Source organism: Homo sapiens, chromosome 1 (assembly GCF_000001405.40).
Source record: "Homo sapiens chromosome 1, GRCh38.p14 Primary Assembly".
Lineage (NCBI taxonomy): Eukaryota > Metazoa > Chordata > Mammalia > Primates > Hominidae > Homo > Homo sapiens.
The window spans coordinates 240,191,454-240,210,380 of NC_000001.11; the positions used below are offsets into that span (position 1 = coordinate 240,191,454).

An 18,927-nucleotide genomic window follows, 5' to 3' on the forward strand; every position below is an offset into this window, starting at 1 on the left:
CAAATAAAATTACATTCTTGAGACCTCACTTACTGATTATTTTAATTTCAAGTAATATGCTCTGAAAATCTGCTCTATCTGAAGAATTATGTCATAAAACTGAAATGCGACTGTCTTTTGATTCTGTTTATTAAAATCTTTGCCATTTGAAATATTTAAACTGTAAAGCCTTTTATACTCTGTAGTATATAATAGCTTAGTGTCAATTATTTTATCTAAGAACATTTGCTTCTAAGTTAAAGATTGGTGTATGGTAACATGCTTCACCTGGTAGCCACCTAGTTTCTAACTTTTTGCTTTTGAAATTATATATACAATTTTTGTTTCAAAGCATTTTTCTAAAACTCTTGGTATCTTTCTAATATACATGGACTAGCTGGAAGGGAAATAGAATAACATTTTGATTTTTAAAAACTCTAGCTTTGGGTAAGAATTGAAAATAACAGGTAATTGAAAGTCAGGTCTTTGAACATTATAATATTTATCATTTATCAATAGTCACATCTATTACAAAGTGCTAGACAATAAAAAGGAATTAGACGATATCAGCACTGTCTTCCCCCATATGTTGTATGATCTATATGCAAATAAATTCTCAAGTGTCAGAAAAACGCTTTGCTCTGATCAGCCCTACCGAGTCCCCTCATTGCCCAATCTAACTGCAAATTTATTTGAAGAAGTAAATATTTTTTTACTGGATCTCCTTAAAGTATCTGTTATAGTACTCTTTATGCAGTGGCCACTCAGTTCCATTAGTTTCAGAAATAATTTAGGAACAAGTCAAGGAAACAGATGGAGTAATGTGGAGTAGCCTTGTGGATGGTCTTGGTTACTCAGAAACAAAGTTTGAAGAGCAAAAGAAGCATTGGTCAGATCAAAAGAAAGTGGAGTAAAAGTGATTCTGAAGAAATAATGCTGGAGACTTAATAAAACAAGCCATTTGAATTGGGGTAGAATGTCTTAGACATATAGAAAGTTTCTAAAGAAACATTGTTGAGTATGAGGTCTTTCTCAACTCCAAGGCAAAAGGTAATATGAATTTGCAAAGTAATTGGAAACCAACAAAACAATAACCCACAAGACAAGTAAATAACTAAAATAAGGCGGAGTAAGAAATACAAGTCTTAAAGGAGATAGAGAGAGAGATACTTGGGTCTGAAACCATGAGTTAGTCATCCTTGAAGTCTTCCTCAGTGTCTAATCATTCTTAGGTCCTCAATAAATAGTTTAACCACTAAATACTCTGACCTAATGAGTCTGGGAAGGGGCAAGCGAGAGATGGTTAGGAAGGGAAGAGAAGACAGGATACCCTTAGGGCAGTGCTGACATTGAAGATAGGTAACATTTTGAAAGGTATTCACCATACTATGTTAAGAGAAAGAAAGGATTTTTTTTTTTTTGGTGTGGGAATAATTTTTATTCTGTAGAAACTCCAAGGAGCTCAGAGAAAAATATAGACGTTTTAGCTTAGAAATAATCACAAAAGAAACTCTTCTATGAGTTTTAAGAATGAAAACCAGCTAACATCTGGAAAGCAGTTAGAACTTGAGATGAGAATGTGAAGAAATAATTGGATGTCACAGATTGTTTTTGTTTTTCCTTGGGGTGGTCAGGCTTGGGGGTGAAATGAAGTAATATCTTTGCTCTATTGAGTTTTAGATGGTGTAAAACTAGTTTGCACTATGCAACATTATTAATGGCCTGTGGAGAAAGGCAAACAGTCCAAGCAGCTAATCCAATGGGGGTCGTGGAGCTGATAAAAGTTCTCTGCTTATAAAGGAGGCTTGTCCTTTATTGAACATCTGCTGACCTACTGTGTGCAAGGTATTTGTGGTAGATATTGAAGGAAATACGAAGAATTATAAGACAAAATCTTGGGTATTAAGAAGCAGACAGTTAGAAGAACATACCTCTTTCACGTACATGAAATGATTTGCGAGATGCAATGTAATTCTGCCAAGATAAACTTAACAAAAAGGGTGAAGGTTGTTGAGAGACTACAATTAAGGGCAATTTCTTAGGAAGGGTGAAATTTAGATCAAATCGTCATTTTTGGATAGATGGAGGGAAGAAGAGTGAGTATTTCAGATCAGAGAAGAGAGTAAAGGTAGAAAATTGGAAGTGAACATGGCACTGGGTGTGGGGCCAGGGAGAAGCGCAATAGTCCAGGTGACCTGAGAGGCAGCTCAGCTGGCAGCTGCCCTGGAGACCCAGGTTTTGCTTTCCTTCTCCCGGGCCTCCTTGGCCTGCAGCCTGACAGTGCCTTAACCCAGAGCCCAGTCTTATCTGGATTACTGCAGTATTCTCCCGATGGGTCTCTCTGCTTCCAGTCTTAACCCTTCTAATCTCTCCTCCACAATGCCTCCAGAGTTATCTTTCTAAAATCCAAATTTGCTGATGTCTGATATCTGCTTAGACTCATCCAGTGACTGCTCATAGCATTTGAGAAAATGTTCAGACTCCTGAGTTTGACACATGGGGTTTTCCCTTGCCATCCTCAGTCTTCAGCGTTATCACTCACTATTTCCTGTATGATTGGCTGGCTTGTTCCAACCCTAAAAAATACACTAGTTTTTTTGTTTTGTTTTGTTTTTGTTTGTTTTTTGTTGTTGTTGTTGTTTTTTTAATCTTTAGGATCCTTCATATCTGTCTTATACATGTTTCTTCTGCACTCCTCTTTTTAAAAATCTACTTCTATTTTTTAATCTAAATTTGTCTAAACTTGATTTTGTTCTAGACACTGGACTTGAGAAGACTCAGTCTAGGGTGCATTTCAGGAGTGGTAGAACATTTGCTTATATTCATACCATAGTGGTTGAGGATCTGGGCTTTGGACCAGTTTTCCTGGGCACAAATCCCAGTTATTCCACTTTTAACTGGGGAACTGTCAAAGATGAACAAAGTCAGACATTAGTTAAAATGGTAAGGACAGATTTTATATCAGTGGCAACTATTGCGCTAGGGAAGAGTCCAGCGTGAACTAAACTCAACTTTGATTTGTACAGAGGTGACCAAGCATTTTAAAGGGAGAATAAAGGAATAGGGAGAAGGGTGAGTGGAGGCTCAGGAGACTCAGAAGTGAAAAACTGCAAGGGTTCATTAGTGTAAATGAGATTAGGCCAGCTGTGTCTACTAACTGGCAGTTATAAGTTAGGAGTCTGTCCTCCGCCAGAGACTAGGAAAGAGGCCCCATCCTCAGGTGAAGGCTGAAACAGTAAGTTGTTTTGGCAGCCTTGAGTTTTCTTAGGCAGTAATTTAAAGAGCGGTAGGATTATCTTTGGGATGCAGCCTTTAGTTGGTAGAAACTATGTTAATGTTTGCTCAAGCCTTTACAGGCCAAGGCTAAGGCCTAGTTGAGAAGAGGGCTCAGAGGAGCCTGGCTAGAGCTTGATCAAGAAGAGAATCTTTGTTAGAATTTAAGAATAGCATTTTACTCTGTGTGCCTTAGTTTTCTCATCTATAAAATGGGTATAATAAGAATTCCTATCTCTACATTTTTTTTTTGTGAGTTTTAAATATATTTATGTAAAATGCTTTGGAGGAGTTCCTGGCACTCAAAATGTTAGCTCTTTATCATTATTGTTGTTATAGTTGAGCAATACTCTGGTTTTGAAAGTTGCTTTCATTGCATAGGTGGTCCTCATTATTCTTGGATTTGCATGTATTTGCGAACTCACCTACTTGCTAACATTTATTTGGAGCCCCCAAATCATATTCATATGGTGCTTTCACGGCCAATCACAAACACGCTCCAAGTGGCAAGAAATTTGAGTTGCTTGACGTGGACTTTCCCAGCTGATGTTGAATGAGGTGAAGCTCTGCTTTCTTCTTTCAGCTCTCATTCTGTAAATAAGAGTGTTTTTGTGGCTGTTTTTTCATGTTTTTGTGCTTTTTCTTGTTGGTTTTACTGTTCGAAATTGCCTCCAGGCATAGAGCTGCCGTGTTGTCTAATGTTCCTACGTGCAAGAAGGCTGTGATGTGCCTTGTGGCAAAAACACATGTCAGATAAGCTTTGTTCAGGCTTCAGTGATGCTGCTGTTGGCCATAGTAAATCAGCAATATATATTAAATAAAGTGTCTTTCAGCAGGAACACACATTTAAAAAAGGTAATGCATTGATTGGTTGACAAAAATGTGACCAGGGGCTTGCAGGAATCTAAACCTGTATTTTTTCTAGAAGCAATATTCAGTATTCACTAATTTGATGTTCACAAAGACTTTATAGGACAAAACTACTGTGAATAACAAGAATTGACTGTATCTTTTTAAATTCTCACAATAAGGCTGGGTGTGGTAGCTCATGCCTGAAATTCTAGCACTTTGGGAGGCTGAGGTGGGAGGATCACTTGAGCCCAGGAGTCTGAGACTAGCATTGGCAACATAGGGAGACCCTGTCTCTACCAATAATAATAAAAAAAACAGCTGGCCATGGTGGCATGAGCTACTTGGGAGGCTGAGACAAGAGGATCACCTGAGCCCAGGAGGTCAAGGCTGCAGTGAGCTATGATTGTGCCACTGCACTCCAGCTGGTACAACAGAATGAGACCCTGTCTTGAAAAAACCAAAACAAGACAAAAACCCAACATTCTCACAATATCCTTTTGCAGTAGGCAGAGTGAGTGATGGAGTCTCCACATTTTATGGACTATTCAAGGTCTTATGAGCCTAATAGAGGATTTAAAACGTTTTATGCTCAGTAGTCGGGAGCCATGAGTTTTTGAGGAATGAGCAAGACAGTTTAAGGAACAATTACCTGGCAAGGGAATGTAGAATGATAGGAAGAGGGAGAGTGGAGCCAGTTAGGACCAGCTATTAAACTCTCAAAGTAATTCCATTACTTCTCAGCTAAGGTGCTGATGTGATACAGGAAAAGTGGCAACCAAGAATTGAAATGATGGGTTTGGTAACCATGTCTAGGGTATAAATTAGGCTGTGTGGTTTGCAGACTTCAGTATCAACTGGGAGCTGGTTAGATATGCAGATTCTCAGGCCCTACCCAGACCTACTGAACTGGAAACTGTGGAGGTGGGGCCCAGCAATCTGTGTGTGTTTTTTGGTTTGTTTGTTTTTGTTTTGATACAGAGTTTTGCTCTTGTTGCCCAGGCTGGAGTGCAATGGCATGATCTCGGCTCACTGCAACCTCCGCCTCCCAGGTTCAAGCAATTCTCCTTCCTCAGCCTCCCTAGTAGCTGGGATTACAGGCACCTGCCACCATGCCCAGCTAAGTTTTTGTATTTTTAGTAGAGACAATATTTTGCTGTGTTGGCCAGGCTGGTCTCAAACTCCTGACCTCAGGCGAACCGCCGGCCTCGACCTCCCAAATAATCTGTGTTTTAACAAACCCTCTAGGCGATTCTGGTGCACATTGAGCTTAAGAGACAATGAATTAGAGAAATGATCGAAAGATGTTCCCAAGCCTAGGTAAACTACAGGACAGGCAAAGGAGTATTTTGTTGGAGGATAAGATGCTTGATATTATGAAACATACATTTGGTCTTAATTGCCATCTCCTGGCATACAACTCCTAAAATCCTTGGAATCTTCGAAGAGGTTAAGTGTCTTTTTATATGCTACTGTTTGTTGTCTGGTAACTTCAGGATGGGGCTGGTCCACAGAAAGACCAAAGCATAGTAATAGGGTTGGGACTTTCTGCCCCACCCCCCAGCCTCGGGAACTGGGAGGGGCTGAAGGTTAAGTTGGTCACCAGTGCCCAGTGATGTAGTTAATCGCACCTACATCATGAAACCTCCATTAAAACCCCCAAAATTGATGGGATTTGGAGAGCTTCCAGATAGCTGATGAACACATGGTTTTCCCGGAGGGTGGTGCTCCCCTTTTCCCAAGCCTCTCCCCATCCATCTCTTCATCTGCATCCTTTGTAACATCCCTTCTAGTAAGTCAGCAAAAGTTATGTGTTTCCCTGAGTTCTGTGGGCTGGTCTAACACATTGAACCTGCGGAGGGGGTGGAGGGATCCTGGATTTATAGCCAGTTGGTCAGAAGTTCCTAGAGGCCTGGACCTGTGGCTTGCATATGAAGTGGGGGCAGTTTTGAGGACTGAGCCCTCAACCTGTGGGACCTGATGCTACCTCCAGGTAGATAGTGTTAGAATTGATTTGAATTAGAGGACACTCATCTGGTGTCTATAATAGAATTGATTGCTTGCTGGAGGGACGAAATCTTTGCACATTTTGATGATAGAGGTCACAGAAGTCCTCTGTTTTCATTGTTGAGTGAGAGAATAGGGAAAGCATTGTGGTTAGGTTTTTTCCTGTACCCTCAGATGCACTTTAAGGAACCTGGGTACCTCCCAGGTTCAAGCAATTCTGCCTCAGCCTCCAGAGTAGCTGGGATTACAGGTATGCACCACCACGCCTGGCTAATTTTTGTATTATTAGTAGAGACAGGGTTTCACCATGTTGGCCAGGCTGGTCTCAAACTCCTGACCTCAGGTGATCCACCCACCTCAGCCTCCCAAAGTGCTGGGATTATAGGCGTGAGCCACTGTGCCTGGCCAGGAAGATTTTTCTTGAAAAAACAAACACCAAAAAAAAGATATTTGAGAACAGTTGGGTGTTAATGCAAGGGAGGCGATTAGGAGGTAAAAAACTGAGCTGCACTTTCCATCCATAGATCATTCAAGGAAAGTGAAGCTGGAATAAAATAGTGCTTTCCTTCCTTGCATTACTTGAGACAATTAAGGGATAGATTGCTTTAAAGTATGGTCCAGTACCTCCTGCAACTCTAGCTCAAATAAGTAGAAAGAAACTTCTCAATATGTGAGCAGGAACCAAAAAGGCTGGTTCTTTTTGCTGTTTATCTCCCTTTTTTCCCTAAATGTTTATTGCTTCCACTGTGTTTGTTCACTAAAGATCATTACTTTAACCTTCCCATCGTATCAGCTCCCATTCTAAAGAGATGTTAAAAGTAATACAGCCAAGTATGATTTCTAACGTACGCCTCTTCCTTCCATATCACATTTCTCAGTCATCCGTGAAGGAATGGAAAGAGATTTGCCATGTCCATTCCAGTTCAGAAATATTATAATTTCCATAATTCATCATGTATTTTATACTAAGGATTCTAGAGATGCCATCTCAGCTCCCTGTGTGAGGCTCTTTCCCATAATATGTTCTATTTTAAAAAGCCCTAGGCAAGTTATTTACCATTTGCCATCTGTTCTAATATTCTTTCTTGAAATTTCCCTTTCAAACTTAAAATTGCTTGTATTTTAGTTTTGTGCAAAATTATATCTATATAACACCTCGATCTCTTTCCCTATGGGATCATGTGTAGCAGATGTTAACATATTATAAACTGGAATGCCATTGGTTGTTCCAAAACTAGGATGTTTCTTAATTTAGAACATGACAGCCTGGCGCGGTGGCTCACACCTGTAATCCCAGCACTTTGGGAGGCCGAGGTGGGCGTATCACGATGTCAGGAGTTTGAGACCAGCCTGGCCAACATAGTGAAACCCCATCTCTACTAAAAATACAAAAATTAGCCCGGCATGGTGGCTTGTGCCTGTAGTCCCAGCTACTCGGGAGGCTGATGAGGGAGAATCGCTTGAACCCAGGAGGCAGAGGTTGCAATGAGCCGAGACCGTGCCATTGGACTCCAGCCTGGGTGACAGAGGGAGACTCCGTCTCAAAAAACAAACAAACAAAAAACAATATGACAAATAGAGAATTTATATGCTTCTGTGAAGAACAGAATTCCTATTTTACAGATGTCTAGAGGTATCCTAACCTGCCAGTAATGTTGCTTTAGAATTTAGCAGAATTTGAAAAATCTAAATATGGTAGAAAATTAATTATATATCTCATGTTAAAATTTATAAAATAAATTATTACAGCGTTAACTTACCAATAAGCAGCTTTTAAATTCTAGGCTTTAAAAGTATCCTGCTTACATAATAAACATAATAAAGTTTCAAAGATGAGCAAATTAACTTTTCAGCAAAAGCTTTACTTGAGTGTATCTTGGCTTCTTTTTTGACAGTTGTAACCTTAATGTTACAGTAATGTTTTCTTTTTCTGGGAATCAGATAATCTTCTGTTTGGAAAAATATTTTTGGTGAACATTTTATTTTTTAATGGAAACTTGTATTATGTGATACGCAAGTGTTCAAACAATTTATAAGAGCTAACCATCACCACCCACATATAAGATTATACAGGAATGGAGGAATTTTGGCTGACTTACTGTATATAATTATTGAGCCAACGTAGATGGCAGACTCTACCACTTATGATTTAGGGTTTTGAAACAGTATTTTAAAGTACAAATAATCTCAAAATTGGTAATCTATAAAGCATATTAATTATTGTATTGACGAACTAAAAATAGATTTAACCTTCCTCCATTTATAAGGATGCATCCATTATATAGGTTCTGTACAAAATTGCCAAGCTTACTTTTCTCTTTTTCTTTTTTTACAACAAAATGTATTTAAATTTTTTGATAGGAAAAGCCATTAGCTTTCCGTAAACTGTTGCACAATCACTGGAAATGCTGAGTGAGAGTCTTTCTGAAAACTGTAGAAGGCTAAAGATAATGAAAAGTGTATCTCTTCATTGTCAAGTCCTTTGAGAATCTGATAGGCTCTATCTAGCTGCACCCTGAAGAGACAAGATTAAGTTCCAGGCGCTGGACACAGAGGAACAGGCTCCTAACTGGAGGGCTTTCCACGGACAACAGAGCGCCTGGCAGTCTCTTCGAGATTAAATCTAGGCTGTGTGGGAGGGTGGGCCCCCCAGAGCTTCATTCCACTTTGTGTGGGTCCTGAGAGTAGGGTGTTTGCTTAAATGGCAAGAAAATGGCCCTTTTTCCTGATAATTACTAATATCTGCCATGTAAATTTCTTTATAAATCCCTGAAAGAAAACAACCTATATTAGAAATCAGCTCTTACTTCTGACAAGCAATGGAGCTTTCTCTAGAGCGCTTTACAGGAAATATCTCAGCTGACTTTCTGAACTGGTACTCTCTGAGAGCCAGCCGGCCCTTGACTGATAGCCCTGGATAAGGAAGGCCAGATAAGATTCTTTGAAGACTCTCAGCTAAATTCAGAGCCCCAAATCCTACATACATTTGGCTACTCTGTAGTAGTGGATTGGTGGCCTTATTTTACAGGCTAGTCAGTTAAGGTTTGAGATGCGCTTAGTTGCTCTGCTTGTGTGGAATAGAAAAGGGGGATTGTAACATTAATACAGGGCCGGTCGGGATTTTAGGGTGCAGGTAAGGATAGGTCATAGGGAGAATGAAGATTCTAGCAGGTTGGTTTTTTGTTCTCTCTACAGTGGGAATAATGTAAGAAGCAGATAGTTTGTTGCCCCCAACTCTTTTTCCATGTTCTCTTCTATCAAAATGATCTGTACAAAAAAGTTCTGTTTATAAAAATTTTAGTCTTTCATCTTTGCAGTCTGTTATCATCTTTATGAATTTTTTGACTCTTCCACCTTCCTGGCACCACAAGGCTAGCATTGCTATATTTATTAAAGATTCAGATTTGGAATTTTGTCCTCTTATCACTACTTCCTCTGCCATTTGTTAGCTCTGGTTCTTATTGTATCTTACATTTGAAAACCTTTGAAGCTTATGGGGTATATCAATTCTTTATTTTCTCAACTTTTTATTATCTAAGTACCCTCAATTATCAAGTTGTTTAAAAAATAAATAAAATACATAACAGAAATTGTTCTGTTACGCACTAATAAATTGATCATTTATAAAAGTAGATCCAACCCCAAATCCCTCTCCTTTTAACACAGACCATCTGTTATTATCCACCATCCTTTAGTTTGGCAGGGTCAGTTTATCAATGATTTTTGGATGTTTTAAACCACATGACACAAATGCAGCATAAAGTGAACTTGTTAATCATGCAGAAGTTGGAGGGTTTCTTGAAGTCAGAGAAGGTGATGGTGGAGAACTTGAATTGCATGAACTGTAATTGATTTGTGAGCACCTCGTGGAGTTAGCTAATACAGTAAGAATGATGATGTGACAGATGTATTTAAAAAATGAATTTGCATATTAGGATTGTCAGAGGCCTTTGGGGAAATTAATGAGGTTCTCAAATACTACAAAAAAGGACCATCTTTTCATAAAAGGTGATATGATGTCATATATCATGGCACCATATATTTTTGTTAAAAATTAGCACTGAAAATAATTTTAATTTTAATAATTTGTGCATCTTTCCATTATGATAAAAATTGTTTTAAATTAAAATGACACCCTTACTTAATTTTTAATTTCTTTTTTATGGAAAAAAAGTGAATCTTTTTTTCATAATTTATTCTGAAGTATTGGTACCTGGGTATATCAGTCAGACCTTTTGCAGGAACTGGAAACTATGCTAGGTGCATGAAACAGAAGTGTTTACTATAAAATCAGGTGTTTTATGGGAAGTTTGGAAGGTTTGAAGCATCTGTGTCTAAGGTGACACTTTTCAAAGAAATCAAATACAACTGGATTATCAGGGGAGTTAAAACTTTTGAGGCCACCATTGCAATTTGTAGAGTGGACATTTGAATGTTGTTGTAGAGAAGCTTTGTTTTCAGACCTTAACTGCTAACAGAGCAGTCCAGACACGGGAATATGATCCTTACCTCATTCGACTTTCTAAATCTTTGTGTGGTTGCATCTAATTGGATGAATCTAGCTGCAAGGGAGTCTGCAAATGTAGTTTTTCTTTGTATTTCTGTAAACGGGAAGGGGAGGATGGAGATTGCGAGAGCCAATCCAAGGTAACCAAAAGAAAATTTAAGTGGATTCTACTTAAGAGATCTTTTTCTGGTACTGGGTATCATGTGTAATGATGCAGTTACATTTTTGACTGGCTATGTAAATTAGAAAGGTTAAAAAAAATCCCAGGAATCTTCACAGTCACTAGTATTATGACCTCTGTTACCACTAACTTGGGTGCCATGTGGAACTAGCTGGCCTGTGATGTGGGGCAGAAATCCATGTAGAAAGAGGTGTAATAATTGTTACTATGCTAGGCCATTATTAGGATCATTTTCTTTTTATTACTATTGTTGTTTTTTATATTTTTAGAGGCAGAGTCTCACTCTGTCTCCCAGGCTGGACTCCTGGGCTCAAGTGCTCCTCCAGTCTCAGCCTCTCAAGTAGCTAGGACTACAGGCACACACCACCACACCTGGCTATTTATTTTCCATTTTTGTTGAGATGAAGTCTTGTTATGTTGCCCATGCTGGTCTCGAACTCCTGGCTTCAAGTGATCCTCCCACTTCAGCCTCGGAAAGTGCTGGGATTACAGGCATGACCACTGTGCCTCATCAGAATCACTTTTTCCTCTGTGTGTGTATGTGTTTATATAATAATATCCTTTAATTTTATGCTATTTTCATTATATTCAAATTTATGATGAAACAGAGCTGGCATAGGCAATAACATTTACAAACTGAGTTTTGGAAAACTCCTCCAGAATCTACTTCTTACATGCTATTTATCAACTAACCTTTTTATATAATCATAGTTCATGAAAAAAGAAAACCCTAGTTATGTACCAGCATAACTCAAGAAATACCTTTTAATGATTAAAGGTCACCTTTAAGAGTATGCTGGAAAAACGAAAATGATCTGTGCATTTTACTAATCCAGTCAGAAATACTAATTGTACTCCTTATTAAGATAAATTTGGGTGCTGGTTTTTTGGCTTCTGGTTTCTTCTTGTACTCACTATCATCATACAATTGGAGAATGGAATTATGTATAGTGGCCATACAGGATGTTAAAAATGGTTATGTTCCATTGTGAAAGACAGTGTGGCAATTCCTAGACCTAGGAACAGAAATAGCATTTGACCCAGCAACCCCATTACTGGATATGTACCCAAAGGAGTATACATCATTCTGTTACAAAGATACATTCACACATATGTTCATTGCAGCACTAGTCATAATAGCAAAGACGTGGAGTCAACCCAGTTGCCCATCAATGATAAACTGGATAAGGAAAATGTGGATATATACACCATGGAATACTATGCAGACACAAAAAGGAATGCGATCATGTCCTTTGCAGCGACATGGATGGAGCTGGAAGCCGTTATCCTCAGCAAACTAACACAGGAACAGAAAATCAAACACCACATGTTCTCACTTATAAGTGGAAGCTGAACAGTGAGAACACATAGACACAGGTGGGGAACAAGGCACACTGGGGCCTTTTAGGAGGAGTATGGGGAGGGAGAGCATCAGGATAAGCAGCTAATGCATGCTGGGCATAATACCTAGGTGATGGGTTGATGGGTGCAGCAAACCACCATGGCCCACGTTGACCTATGGAACAAACCTGCATGTCCTGCACATGTATCCCAGGACTTAAAATAAAATTAAATAATAAAAAAAGGTTATTTTTTTTCCCACTATGGGCTACTTAAAAACTACATGGCAATATAGTTTTTCCCCACAAAATACATAACACAAAATACACAAAATACAAACTGTGCATTACAAATACTTTAGTCTTTTGTGTAGATGTTGGTGAAAAATAATGAGCTTTTAAGGGGAGAGTGTGTATGTGTGTGTATATATGCCTGAATAACATATAAATTCTCAAAAATCTTGCCTATGAAAGTGTGTTACATTCCTTTATTAGTTGAAAAGTCAATTATTTTTCAGTTTCCTTTCATAGTAAGGGCTACTTCTTTTTTTTTTAACAATAGAAAATTAAGGAAATCAACCCTTTGTAGGGGTTGTGTTTCTAAATTACTGGTTGTCTTCAGCTGTCAGCAAACATCATGATTGACCTTCAGCAAGTTAAATGTTGTAGCAAAAGATATAGTTTCCAGGGAAGAAGTAACAGAGGTTAGGATTAAGACTACTAAATTTAGCAGGGTGCAGTGGTGTGTGCCTATAGTCCTAGCTACTTGGGTTGCTGAGCTGGGAGGGTGGCTTAAGCCCAGGAGTTCGAGGCCAGCCTGGGCAATGTAGCAAGACTCTGTTGTGGAAAAAAGGAAGGACTATTAAGTTTACATTTCTAGACCATGTGCGGTGGCTCACGCCTGTAATCCCAGCACTTTGGGAGGCCGAGGTGCGTGGATCACCTGAGGTCAGGAGTTTGAGGCCAGCCTGGCCAACGTGCTGAAACCCTGTCTTTACTAAAAATACAAAAATTAGCCGGGCGTGGTGGCACATGCCTGTAGCCCCAGCTACGCAGGAGGCTGAGGCAGTAGAATTGCATGAACCCGCGAGGCAGAGGTTGCAGTGAGCTCAGATCACGCTATTGCACTCCAGCCTGGGCGACAAGAGCGAAACTCCGTCGCAAAAAAAAAAGTTTACATTTCCTTCATAGAGATGGGGGGAAAAAGGTGCCCTAAAGATTTTTATCACATCTATCATAGCACCCAAAAATGCCTCATTTGTAGTAAATACCCTTTCTGTCTTGTCCATCTGCATTTTTTCCACTGCAAATGGGTTGGATGTCTGTTCAGATTTAATAAAGAAGATGTTTGCTTTTCACTTTGTGGAGATATTTCTTGGATCCAGAGTTTAACCTTAGCAAGCAGGGTAAGAGTTTAGTTTTATACTTAATATTATCTTTATATTACCTGTTAATTATTCTTCCACAATATGTAAAAATCAAGTCTGGAGTATAAGTGTCAGCCTCCCAGGTGGGTAAGAAGCGTGTGCATGTGGACCTATGGCTGTTTACCGTGGCCTATGGGGATCATCTGGAACACTCTGGAACACTCTGTAGTGTTGCAGGAAACCCTGGAACACTGAAGAAATAGTTCTCAACACAAGAAGTCTCTCATCCTCTCTTTCCCTTTTATTCCAGCCTTTAGTGAGCAAATCCACATCTGTATGAGCAGTAATTAAAGTACGATTGACACTGCAGTTTCCACAAAAGTGGGAGTTGTCTTCCTATGTTTGTTTGTCTTCCTTTCTCTCTATCAATTCCTTCTTCCTCTCTTTTCATCTGTTATTCATATTAAATAATTTACCCTTAAGAAGGCAATGCTCTTTCCTTTTTTTTTTTTTTTTTTTTTTTGAGACGGAGTCTCGCTCTGTCACCCAGGCTGGAGTGCAGTGGCGCAATCTCAGCTCACTGCAAGCTCCGCCTCCCAGGTTCATGCCATTCTCCTGCCTCAGCCTCCTGAGTAGCTGGGACTACAGGCACCCGCCACCACGCCCGGCTAATTTTTTGTATTTTTAGTAGAGACGGGGTTTCACTGTGTTAGCCAGGATTGCCTCGATCTCCTGACCTCGTGATCCACCCGCCTCGGCCTCCCAAAGTGCTGGGATTACAGGCATGAGCCACCACGCCCGGCCAATGCCCTTCTTTCTACTCAAAACGTTTTTTTTTTCTTGAAGGGTTCCTGGTTGATTGTGAGTTTTAGGAAAGGAAGACACCACTTATATGTCAGAGTGCCCCATATGTTGGCCAGTTGTTATCAGCCATCTTTTTTTTTTTTTTTTTTTTTTGAGACAGTGTCTCACTCTGTTTCCCAGGCGGGAGTGCAGTGCAGTGGCCTGTGATCATAGATTGCTGCAACCTCAAACTCCAGGGCTCAAGCTGTCCTTCCGCCTCAGCCTCCCAAGTAGCTGGGACTACAGGCGTGTGCCACCGTGCTCAGCTAATTTTTTTAATTTTTAGGAGAGATGCAGTCTTGCTATGTTGCTCAGGCTGGTCTTGAACTCCTGATCTCAAGTGATCCTCCCACCTCAGCCTCCCAAAGTGCTGGGATTACAGGTGTGAACCACCATGTCTGGCCATCAGCCGTCTTTATAAATTGTGGAGAACTGTCAGTTATCACTTTCTGAAATACCCTAGGTAAAATATTAAAGTTCTAGTAAACATGATATAAGCGGTATGGCACATGCTCATAATGCATTTGTCTTGCCCATATGGATATCAAAAATATTTTATATATTATTATTGAACACTCATTCAGTGATCACTTTTAAAAAGCAGTGACTACCTTTAAAATTCGGGATTACCTTTAAAATGTTTTCAGGGAACATCCTAAAAACCAGTGTTCCTAGGCTGGAAAGAAGGCTATCTTAGAAATAAACTGGTTTATCACTCAGAGCTTTCTTCCCTGTTCTCAGTGGTCTATTTGTCCTCAATGGTATCATTTGAAAATGAGACAGATGTGGACTTAAGATTCTGTGGTAAGTCACGTGTGTTAACCACTTTGAAATCTCAGGGTGCAAGCCAGGGGACACATAGAAATATTAATACCATCTTTCTGTCAAGGAGTCCTTCTGGAAGTATGACAACAAACAGATATAATTTTGCTTAATTTTTTGCTATTTGCATTTTTCCTTATTTCATAACTAACTGTGTCTGTCCTTGTCGCCCTTCAGGAAGTTGTTGACATGAAGTCTGAGGGACAGGCCACTGTAATTCAGCAGCTGGAACAGACTATTGAGGATCTGAGAACCAAAATAGCTGAACTAGAGAGGCAGTATCCTGCCCTGGACACAGAGGTGGCCAGTGGTCATCAAGGGCTTGAGAATGGAGTGACAGCCTCAGGCGATGTCTGTCTCGAAGCTCTCAGGTTAGAAGAAAAGGAAGTACGGCATCATAGGATTTTAGAGGCGAAATCGATACAGACTTCCCCCACGGAAGAGGGCGGGGTGCTGACACTGCCTCCTGTGGATGGGCTGCCAGGGCGTCCTCCATGCCCCCCTGGGGCTGAAAGTGGACCTCAGACAAAGTTCTGTTCAGAGATTTCTTTGATTGTGTCTCCAAGGCGAATATCAGTCCAGCTCGACAGCCATCAGCCCACACAGAGCATCTCACAGCCTCCACCACCTCCATCCCTTCTGTGGTCTGCTGGGCAAGGACAGCCTGGGTCACAGCCGCCCCATTCTATTTCTACCGAGTTTCAAACCAGCCACGAACACTCTGTTTCCTCTGCCTTTAAAAACAGCTGTAACATCCCATCTCCACCACCTCTGCCTTGCACAGAGTCCTCCAGCTCCATGCCTGGCCTGGGCATGGTGCCTCCCCCACCTCCCCCTCTCCCTGGCATGACAGTGCCTACTCTGCCCAGTACAGCCATTCCCCAACCTCCTCCTCTGCAGGGTACAGAAATGCTGCCACCCCCTCCCCCTCCTCTTCCCGGAGCGGGCATACCTCCTCCGCCGCCTCTACCCGGAGCAGGCATACTCCCTCTGCCCCCTCTACCCGGAGCGGGAATACCTCCTCCGCCCCCTCTACCCGGAGCGGCAATACCCCCTCCGCCCCCTCTTCCCGGGGCAGGCATACCCCTTCCTCCCCCTCTTCCCGGAGCAGGAATACCTCCTCCACCCCCTCTACCCGGAGCGGGCATACCCCCTCCTCCCCCACTTCCCGGAGCGGGCATACCCCCTCCGCCCCCACTTCCCGGAGCGGGCATACCCCCTCCTCCCCCTCTTCCCGGAGCGGGCATACCTCCTCCACCCCCTCTACCCGGAGCGGGCATACCCCCTCCGCCCCCACTTCCCGGAGCGGGCATACCCCCTCCGCCCCCACTTCCCGGAGCGGGCATACCCCCTCCTCCCCCTCTTCCCGGAGCGGGCATACCTCCTCCACCCCCTCTACCCGGAGCGGGCATACCCCCTCCGCCCCCACTTCCCGGAGCGGGCATACCCCCACCTCCCCCTCTACCCGGAGCGGGCATACCCCCTCCGCCCCCTCTACCCGGAGTGGGCATACCTCCTCCGCCCCCTCTACCCGGAGCGGGCATACCCCCTCCTCCCCCTCTACCCGGAGCGGGCATACCCCCTCCTCCCCCTCTTCCCGGAGCGGGCATACCTCCTCCACCCCCTCTACCCAGAGTGGGCATACCCCCTCCGCCCCCACTTCCCGGAGCGGGCATACCCCCACCTCCCCCTCTACCCGGAGCGGGCATACCCCCTCCGCCCCCTCTACCTGGAGTGGGAATACCTCCTCCGCCCCCTCTACCTGGAGTGGGAATACCTCCTCCGCCCCCTCTACCTGGTGCTGGGATTCCCCCACCTCCTCCCTTGCCAGGTATGGGGATTCCACCTGCTCCAGCTCCCCCACTCCCTCCACCTGGGACAGGAATCCCACCGCCCCCTCTGCTTCCTGTATCAGGCCCTCCACTCCTCCCACAAGTTGGGAGTAGCACTTTACCAACCCCACAGGTGTGTGGATTTCTTCCTCCTCCATTGCCAAGTGGCTTGTTTGGATTAGGGATGAATCAGGACAAAGGGAGTAGGAAGCAGCCCATAGAGCCTTGTCGACCAATGAAGCCTCTTTACTGGACCAGGATTCAACTACATAGTAAAAGGTAACATGAAAGTGAGCTCGTCTTTGCACAGTGTGTGTCAGTATTAGGGAAGTGTTTACCTTCAAACTCGGGAAAATTACTGTTGAATGTATTTTTAAGCACAACTCTAAAACTCGTCTAGATTTTTACATCAATATATAGTGCAGCAGTTTGCTATTTAAAGCTTTAAGCTTTTCTCCAGAAGTACCAAAGATGTAAAATAAATACATATACGTATCAATGTATAAGATGTAGGTATACCCATCTATGTAGTTATTGATATATCTCTTAAAGATTGAGGGATATATTTTTCTTAAAATACATGCTCTGTTATCTAGTTGTAAGACTGCTACTTATTTATGCCTAAATTCCAGTGAAAGTATGCTTATATGCCCTTTGGAAAATGAATGAGGGCAGGTAAGCAGAGACATTTGTAGCGAAATTATTTTCCATGTAAGAATCTACTCTTTGCTTTTACTACTTCAAGTTTCCATTTCTGACAAACAGCTTAAAAATGTAAATCAAATTCTTAAATCCTTTTTTTTTTTTTTGGAGGGGGGACGGAGTCTCGCTCTGTCACCCAGGCTGGAGTGCAGCGGTGCAGCCTCGGCCCACTGCAAGCTCCGCCTCCCGGGTTCACCCCATTCTCCTGCCTCAGCCTCCCGAGTAGCTGGGACTACAGGCGCCCGCCACCACGCCCGGTTAATTTTTTTTTGTATTTTCAGTAGAGACGGGGTTTCACCGTGTTAGCCAGGATGGTTTCCCATCTCCTGACCTCGTGATCCGCCCGCCTCGGCTTCCCAAAATGCTGGGATGACAGGCGTGAGCCACCGGGCACGGCCGCAAATCAAATTCTTAGGTAAACTGACTCTGGAGCATGATTTAGTGCACACTTTAAAATGCACAGCCCTGTCCGGGTGCGGTGGCTCACGCCTGTCATCCCAGCACTTTGGGAGGCCGAGGCGGGTGGATCACAAGGTCAGGAGATTGAGACCATCCTGGCTAACACGGTGAAACCTCGTCTCTACTAAAAATACAAAAAATTAGCCGGGCGAGGTGGCGGGCGCCGGTAGTTCCAGCTACTCGGGAGGCTGAGGCAGGAGAATGGCATGAACCCGGGAGGCGGAGCTTGCAGTGAGCCGAGATCGCGCCACTGCACTCCAGCCTGGGCGACAGAGCGAGAGTCCGTCTCAAAAATAAGTAAGTAAGTAAATAAATAAATAAATAAAATGCACAGCCCTGGTTTACAGTCCCATCTTGTGGGCTTTCTTCAGAAACATGCTTCACAAAAATACACATATCCATACCCCAAGTGTGAAATAATTTAGTTTTGAAAATTTCATGGCACTTCTGTCCCTCATTGGCAACACAGCACAAAGTCATACAATCATAGCTGGGACTGATCATCATAAAAGAATACTTTCCACCAGGTATTCTGGTGGTACTTTATACATTTATGTGTCATCTATAGCCCGTGTTGCCTAGTCATTGAGACAATGCTGTGATACTTGGCTGTGGAATGTGTAGGTGGCAGGGAAAAACGCACACTGTAAACCTCACTGGGGCTTCCTTGTTCTAATGTTTCATGATTCCTTGAATTTCCTTTGTGTGAATTTCCTTTGTGTGATGTGGCATGCATTTAGAAACAGGGTATTTGCCAGGTTCGTTT

General features: G+C 42.3%; 1 protein-coding gene across 9 annotated transcripts in view; it reads left to right on the plus strand.

Annotated features, from left to right (window-relative positions):
• The window catches only part of FMN2 (formin 2), a 383,305-nt gene that overhangs the window by 99,571 nt on the left and 264,807 nt on the right, over positions 1 to 18,927 (plus strand). For 8 of the 9 annotated variants that reach the window (NM_001305424.2, NM_020066.5, XM_017001837.2 and 5 more), the window contains one exon: positions 15,346 to 17,279. The exons of the other annotated variant lie outside the window; for it this stretch is intronic. In NM_001305424.2, coding sequence (NP_001292353.1) covers positions 15,346 to 17,279 — 1,934 coding nt within the window. The remainder of the gene's footprint in view (positions 1 to 15,345; positions 17,280 to 18,927) is intronic. 9 annotated transcript variants of the gene reach the window in all.